General features: G+C 41.6%; 1 protein-coding gene across 14 annotated transcripts in view; it reads left to right on the top strand.

Moving 5' to 3' along the window:
• CTNNA2 (catenin alpha 2) overlaps positions 1-8,456 on the top strand; it is a 1,463,404-nt gene that overhangs the window by 1,147,361 nt on the left and 307,587 nt on the right. The window lies entirely within an intron of this gene.

The raw sequence follows: 8,456 nt of genomic DNA on the forward strand, positions 1-8,456 counted from the left end.
AAGGCATTTAGCGTGAGCTTTTAAGTAATTCTGCTTGGAAAAATGTATGATAAGAGGCCTTGCTATCCTCCATCTCAGGGGAATGAATATACTGGTCCAGGGTTCAGTGGCCCTAAAGCCAAATTCAGCTGCTGCCTGTTTTTATAGGGCCTGCAAGATAAGAATGAGTTTATGTTTTTAAATGGCTGGAAATAAACCAAAAGAAGAATAATATTTTGCGACATTTGAAAATTATATAAAATTCAGATTTTAGTATCCATACACAAAGTTTCGTTGGAACACAGCCATACCTATTTGTTTACATATTTTCTATGACTGTCTATTCATTAAAATAGAAGAGCAGATTCCTTGCAACAGAGACTGCAGAGCCTAAAATATTTACTATTAATATCAGCCCTTTACAGGAAAAGTTTTCGGATCCCTGTATTGGTCTATTGACTCAGAGTAACTAGGAATTAGTTACTAAAGGCTGTCACCTTTCCACCGGTCTGTCTAACCCTCCTTCATCTAGTCTTCCCTTAGCAGAAGGTAATCCCCTTACCTACTTACCCATTTACTCACCTACTTCCAAGAGTTTCCAAGGGCTTATCTCATGGTGGATCCTGCGTTGGGCTTTGTGGGTGATTGAAGAGATGAATTCAATCTGGTGTCTGCTCTAGAGTACTTATAGTTTGTTTAGAGAGCATGTGAGGAAGAGCAAGATAAATGATGGAGATAAATAAGAGATATGCATGATCAAAATACTTGGTAGAGTGACACATTCGTATAAGAGGATTTCAGGAAAACTGACATGAGATTCTGAATCTCCTTCAGATTCCTTTTACCTGCATAATACCATTGGTCAGTGAGTTGCTCAGACCAGAAAGCCAGCCACCACCTTTTTTTTCTTCTTTTTTCTGGGGGAGGTGGTGGGGGGGATGGAGTCTTGCTGTGTCCCACAGGCAGTAGCGTGATCCCGGCTCCCTGCAATCTCTGCCTCCTGGATTCAACAATTCTCCTGCCTCAGACTCTGAGTGGCTGGGATTGCAGGTGCGCACCATCATGCCCAGCTAATTTTTGTATTTTTACTAGAGACGGGTTTCGCCATGTTGGCCAGTCTGGTCTCAAACTCCTGGCCTCAAGTGATCCGCCTGTCTCAGCCTCCCAAAGTGCTGGGATTATAGGCGCGAGCCACCACACCCGGCCTAGCCACTGTCTTTGACACCCAGTCACCTGCTGCCTCTGCTTGCACTGCAGTGCTCCCTGCACAGTGTTGCACGTCAAAGGCACTCTCCAGGGTTATGCTTAGCCCATGTGGCCAACTGTGGCAGCCTTGCCTTTCCAACTCCCTGGACCTTTCTGCTGTCAGAATGAATTATGTCATTTCTTCCTTTTGAAGAATATCTTTTGAATTGTCAGTTTAGCTCCATTTCTGATGCTTCCTCCCTAATCTAGGCCACTGTTATCTCTGGCCTGGATCTCAGCTAAAGCAATGGATCTTTCTCGTCCACTCTTGCATCTGTTCTGTTTAAAATTCACATATAATCATGCTACTTCTCTGTGTATGATGAGTCTCACTTTTCCCATATTTCTTATGAAAATATCCCAAATCTGGGCATATCTCTTGAGACCTTGAACAATCAGCTTTTGAGACCTCAGAGCCTCATTTGCATGACTCTCCCCTTAATTCCTTTCTTCTGGCCATGTGGCCATCTTACAGTTTCTGTAGGGTGAATATGTAATTCATTTTTCAAAAACAAGACACTTGTGAGAATGAAAGGAGGCACTATTAATAATGATGCCATGGCAACAGGCTATAATCAGGACAGTCCCAGGCAAACCAAGATATAAAGTCACCCTACATTTCTCAGACATCCCACACTCTTTCTAACATAGAGTCTTTGAATGTGATTATTTTTCCTTATTTGTGATTGCTTTGCCCTTCTTTACCTATCAGTTTTTCTCTGACTTCAGAGGGTGAGTGAAATCCTCTCTTGATACACAATCAGAGCACCTTCACTCCTTCTAATAATTATAATTGAATTGCAACTGATGTAATTGTTTATGTGTCCAACTAGCATGACCAATCCTCTTGGTCTGCCCAGGACCGAGGGAGTTGCAGGGACATGAGATTTTAATGTTAAAACCAGGAATGTCCCAGATCAGCACGTGAGAATATCATTCCCTCAAAGGCAAGGACCAGATTTGTCTTGTTTCCCACTGTAACTGCAGAACATAGAGTAGTTCCCAATAAGTTATAGGTGCTCAAAAGACTTTAGTTGGTTGAATGAATTAAGAAAGAAAGGAGTACAATGACAGAGAGGTGACTTTCAGATGGGTTAATCAGGGATGCTTTGCATATAAGGTTCCATCTCAGCTTAAAGGATGAGTTACAGTTTCAGTATGAGGTTAGGAAAAGAATATTGTAGACAGGGAGAAAACTTTCATTAGAGCCCGTCCTCTTTTCCCACTACTAAGTGCCACCTGGAAAGGATGTGGAGGGTCTTAACAATGTGATGTAAATGGCTGCTACAGTTGAATGTGTTACCTACTCCAGGAGTAGTTGCATTTTTAATAAAAAATAGAACCTCCAGTCAAATGATCATCTCATAATGGCAGACGTTTTGAACTGGGGATGGAGAATATAGTTTGAGGGTAAGAAAGAGGAGTGAGGAGGAAGGCCTACCTTCAGACTGGCCCCAAATGCCTTATCCTGTAGGTAGCTTCCACTCTGCCTGGGGTCAGACCACAGGGCTGTGGGGTCTGAAAGTACAGCGCAGTGTACAATCACATCAAAATAGTTTGGGTAGAGCACCATGGGACAGCAGTCTAATTGTTTTTTCTCAAATTTTCCAGACCAATTGGTCTGGGAGAGGTTATTCCTGCCTACTGTATTTCTGGCATCAGTACTTGGCACCAGATGAGAAGTTTGCACTGGGAGAGATGACACAATCAGAAAGGCACATTAGAGCTTTCCAATTGGTAAAATGTTGAATAACAGAATTTTCAGTGTTTCCTTTAGACTATATAAATTCCACAAGTGAGAGTTCCCAATTCCTGTGAATTGAAGGCTTCTGACCATTTGATCCATATTTGTTTCTGAAAATAATAGGTTATTAGACACAAAAATGCATTTGAGATTCTTATTTTGTAGCTGGGGAAACCAAGACCCAGAAAAGTTAAGAGTTGACCACATTGTACAGCTTGTTCATGCCACACTGGGACCAGGACTCAACTCTCCCAATTCCAAATGCTGTGTCTCCCCTTCTATACCTGCATTTTATTATGAAAACTTTTTAATGTACAGAAAAATTGAAGAAATTGTATAGTGCACACCCATGTACTCATGTCTTAGTTCATTTTTGCTGCAATAACAGACTACCTTAGACTGGCTGACTTAAAAGCAAAAGAAATTTATTTCTCATGATTCTGAAGGCTGGGAAGTCCAAGATTAGGGCTCCAGCATATTCAGTGTCTGGTGAGGGTTCGTTCCTCATAGATGTCACCTTCTCACCATATTCTTATAGGGTGAAGGGGGCAAAGCAGCTCTTTGGGGCCCCTTTTATAAGGATCCTAATTCTACTCGTGAGGGCTCTGAGGCCTCATCTCCAAGTACCCTCACACTGGGGATTGGGTTTTAACATATGAATTTAGGGGGACGTAAGCATTCAGATTATAGCAACCCGCCCCCTCAATTTTACAATTACAATTTTGCTATACTTGCTTTATCAGATATCTGTCCATCCTATTTTTGAAGCATTTCAAAAGAATTGCAGACATTACTACACTTCACCTTATGCAGATTATTATCCAAAGTTTGATATTTGCTTATCTTTTTAGGTAAAATTTATACACAATGAATGAGTTTTGACAAATGCTTGCATCTATGCATCTCAAACCCCTATATAGTACTTTGAGTTTTCCATTTTAAAAATTTCAAAACATGCTACATTTTACTTAAACAATCATCTTAAAATTGTTTGCTGTTGAAGATGTACTTGTTTATATAGAAAACATTTTCACAGGAAACAGATTTGTGTAACATTAGACTATAGTTTTAAAAGCAGGTTCCGTAAGGTGCTCTGTTCAAATACTTAAGAAGTGACTCTATGCAAGTTTTAATTCATGCAAGATGAAGTCTCAAAGTCAAGGAAATGCACTCATGTGGGAAAGAAGTGGAGATATTCAAAGGGGATACATGAGGGATACAAAACCTTATAGAAAATTGAGCATTGTTCCCAGCCCATTGCTGACTTGGGCCTCCTCACTCCTCCATCTCCACACTCTGCATCTCAAAAAGGCAAATTACCTGGAAATGTTCAACTGGGTGGGGTGTGGGCATAAGAAAATGAGACAGAGCTGGGCACGGTGGCTTACCCCTGTAATCCCAGCACTTTGGGAGGCCGAGGTGGGCAGATCACGAGGTCAGGAGATCGAGACCATCCTGGTTGACATGGTGAAACCCCGTCTCTACTAAAAATACAAAACATTAGCCGGGTGTGGTGGCACACACCTGTAGTCCCGGCTACTCTGGAGGCTGAGGCAGGGGAATCGCTTGAACCTGGGAGGCTGAGGTTGCAGTGAGCCAAGATCGTGCCACTGCACTCTAGCCTGGGCAACAGAGCCAGACTCTGTCTCAAAAAAAAACCAACCAAACAAACAAAAAAGTAAACGGGATAAAAAAAAAAAGTCACAAGCTCTTTTGCTTCTGCTGTAGGAATGCTCTATTTGACTACACTCCCCCCCACCCCACCCTTTTTTTCTTTTTTGCTCCTATGGAAACTAATCAGAAAAGCTAGAGCAGTTTTGAGAGGCAGATGCAGAAGAACGATACTCCACACTCCCTTCACAAGCTCCCCTTCCCACACATGCTGCAGGGTGTGTGAGTGCACACACACAAATACACACACACACCCCTCTCCTGATTGTACCAAGGAGCCAAAAACAACTGACTTCTCATGGATGAAACTGTGGGTGACTAGTGGTTCAGTACTGGCTTCAGGCATGATGGATTCTCCCTGGGGAATGCGCACCCAACAACTGGGAGACACTTCAAGCACCTTAACTGCCAATGTTTTATGTCAAAAGGTAGAGACAAGTCATAGGAGGACTTGCTGCAGCCCCTTATAGTAAGCGAATTGACCCCACCATGGGAAGTGGGCTGGTCCAGAGGATAGTAGCAAGCCCAAGGCTGCCAAAGGCCTGCTCCCCAGGTGGCTTCCTAGAGCGGAATGTATGGGCAGCAGTAAAATCAGAAAGGGAATGTAGTTTACTTTTCTTTTTTTTTTTTGAGACAGAGTGTCACTCTGTTGCCCAGGCTGGACTGCAGTAGCACAGTTTCAGCTCACTGCAACCTCTGCCTCTTGGGTTCAAGAGATTCTCCTGCCTCAGCCTCCCGAGTAGCTGGGACTACAGGTATGTGCCACCACGCCCGGCTAATTTTTATATTTGTGGTAGAGACAGGGTTTTGCCATGTTGGCCAGGCTGATCTCGAACTCCTGAGCTTAGGTGATCTTCCCGCCTTGGCTTCCCAAAGTGCTGGGATTACTGGCATGAGCCTCTGCACCTGGCCTTTTTTTCTTTTTCTTTTTTTTTTTTTTTCACTTTTAAAGCAGATAATGGGAGGGGAGAAAGGATTAAAAGAGGGAATATTCTGGAAGTCTTTCTGTGGGAACTCCAGAAAACCATTTTGGAGAAAACAGAACATTTCAGTAACAGCTGGGCCTTCAGCCAAAGCAGATGGTCCAAAATGAGGAATGGGAGAGCAGTACAAATAATATCAAGTTGTTGGCTATGGGAGCACTGTGGGAACATGCTAACAGTTGGGTTAGGTGGAAGTCCTTCAATGCTGACCCTGCATTTAAAAAGCATGCATTTAGGCCTTCTCTTTTGGCATCTGAGCATGGCCGACTCTGGAGAGCTGCCTCCACCACTGACTGGTGAAGAAGGTGCATCCCTTTTATTTTTGCCAAAGCCAGTCCAAATGCCCTAATAAAAACCTCTAAGTGATTAACATACAGAAGAAAGTGAATGGTGCCAACTTACTGCAGTCCTGGTAGTTTTCCTAATGATTTGAGAGAGCTAGGCTTGTGATTAGAATTCCAGTCACCAGGCAGGATAGGGGGACTCTAGAGCTTTTGGATAGGCCAGGAGCAAAAGACATAAAAACAACAAAGGAACAAATTTAAAAATGAAACAGCACATTAAGTTGAACAGGAATGCACATTTTCTATCCCTGATTACAATCAGAGCTGGCTATTTTTAGTGTATTTCTGATGAGTCTACTTCACTGTACTTCGTACCAGAATGGCACAATGAGTGGTATTTGCTCTCTATTGGCCAGTAGCTGAAAAGATGAATCTCCATGGAAGTGTGTATATAGGGAGTGCTGAGGCTGACATATGGTAGATTTTTTTTTAACATCTACAAAAACAAACCACTTTCACTAATAATATAACGTGTGTGTGTGTGCACATGTGTGTGTGTGTATCACACCCATCCATTGAGTTTCAATAATCAACTCTCTTTTGCAAGGAATAAAATATGTTATAGCCAGATAGTCATCACCAAACTATGATTTATAGTTTGAGTTGCATCTAGGTGGTTTATGGCACTGACCTAGAAAGGGTATTAATGAGGTCTATGCCAAAACTTTCAGCAGATAGAATATTTGATTTTTATTAGAGATAGGTTTGGGTTGAGGGGCCATTTTTATAAACTCAATGTTAAAAGAAAAAAATAGAATACCATAACCCAACTCTCCAAATACTTTCTATATAAGGTGAATACCCTGACAAATCTTATCCCAGCTATGCAGAGAGAAGTAGAAATACCTCTTCCAGTGTGGATTTAGAAATTGTAGGTACCTCAAGAATATATGTTGCATATTGCTTCTTCAACTAGTCATCCCCTACTGATTAAATACCTACCATGGGTTTGGTGCTACTGGAGACTCAAAAGAAGAGTAAGGCAACCTGTCTTCATGGTGGTCAATGAATTCACCATCTTAATAAAGCCATGAGAGGAAAGTGTAAGAAACAAACCATTTATTAACAGTTAGGACTAGGTATAACTGAAGAAATCAGACAACAGATGACTTTGAGCTAGGGGAGATTATTTGGTTTGGAGTAGCTCAAAGATATTTGATCTTGATGTTTTCTGTAAGCAAGTAACTCCTTTTGTGTGTCTTTGGGGAGTTCATTTCCCAGACATTTTAATCTAAGAATGACGCCTTTACATTGGAACACCACCAAGTTATTAACGTAGCTTTCTTAACAGTGGTGGCCATTGTGCTTACAAAGTATATGCAGCTTTTTCATCAAACATACAAGTAATTGCAGAGAAAATAAATAAGATTTATTTTTCTTCTTTCGACTGACAAGGCTTAATCTGTCTCATGCAATCTTTATCACTTGAAGTCAGGCTACCCCTCTCAGTACTTGCCAGATTCTTCATGGACGTGGATAATAACTATAATCTATGGAGCAGTCCTGCGGTTATGTCAGTACAGCCAGTAATTTGCAAGCCTGGTTCTACAATGGCATCTCTTAGGGGAGGAACTGCCTTGAGCTTGCTCATCTGTCTGAACCCTGTAGAGAAGGATCAGCCAACTGGTAACTTTCAGTGAGGTTTCTCATGGCCTTTTGCTGTCTTCAAGTTTATGGCTTTAAGAGAGGCCTTTGGCAAAGTTTTGATTGCTGTGAATACCCTCTTATAATGGTTCACTTTTCAAAAGGTTTTGACGTTCATAATTTTCTTTAATCTTCATAATTTTCTACTAGATTGGGAAGAATTGAGTCTCTTCCCATTTTATCTCTCATGAAAGAGAAACAACAAGGCTAGTTGAATGTACCAGGTGACATACAGCCCTTTAGCCATACAATGATGATCACATCAAGGTTTCCAGACCACAGACTTAGAGTCTCATTCTATCTCCTGTGTGGGACCTAGAACTTGTTTGATTAGTTCTGTTGACAATTATATACAGGCTTTGGGAAACAAGTTATAAATATTTGACTTTTTGGTTGGTGCAAAAATTCCATTCAATTCTGACATTATCTACCTGGAGCTAGCATCAGATCTCATGAGTTAAAGGTCTCAGTTCCACAATAATGCCCCCATGTCATACTCCAATCTCAAATCCTGGACCACCCATACTTCTGACCGACTGTCTATAAATTGGGGGTTCTCATCATCCCCTCCTCAGATTCGGTAATTAGCTAGGAAGGCTCATAGAAGTCAGGAAGGCATTTAACTTAACTTTACCAGTTTATTATAAAGGAAACAAATGAACAGCCAGATGAAGGAGTACACAGGGCAAGGTCCAGAAGACTCCTGAATACAGGATCTTCTGTCTCTGTGGAGTTGGGGTGCACCTCCCCCAGAATGTGTATGTGTTTGGAACAACAACTTGGAAGTTCTCTGAACCTTGATGTTTAGAGATTTTTTTTTAATGGAGGTTTCATCATATAGGCATG

This window comes from Homo sapiens, chromosome 2, assembly GCF_000001405.40.
Source record: "Homo sapiens chromosome 2, GRCh38.p14 Primary Assembly".
NCBI lineage: Eukaryota > Metazoa > Chordata > Mammalia > Primates > Hominidae > Homo > Homo sapiens.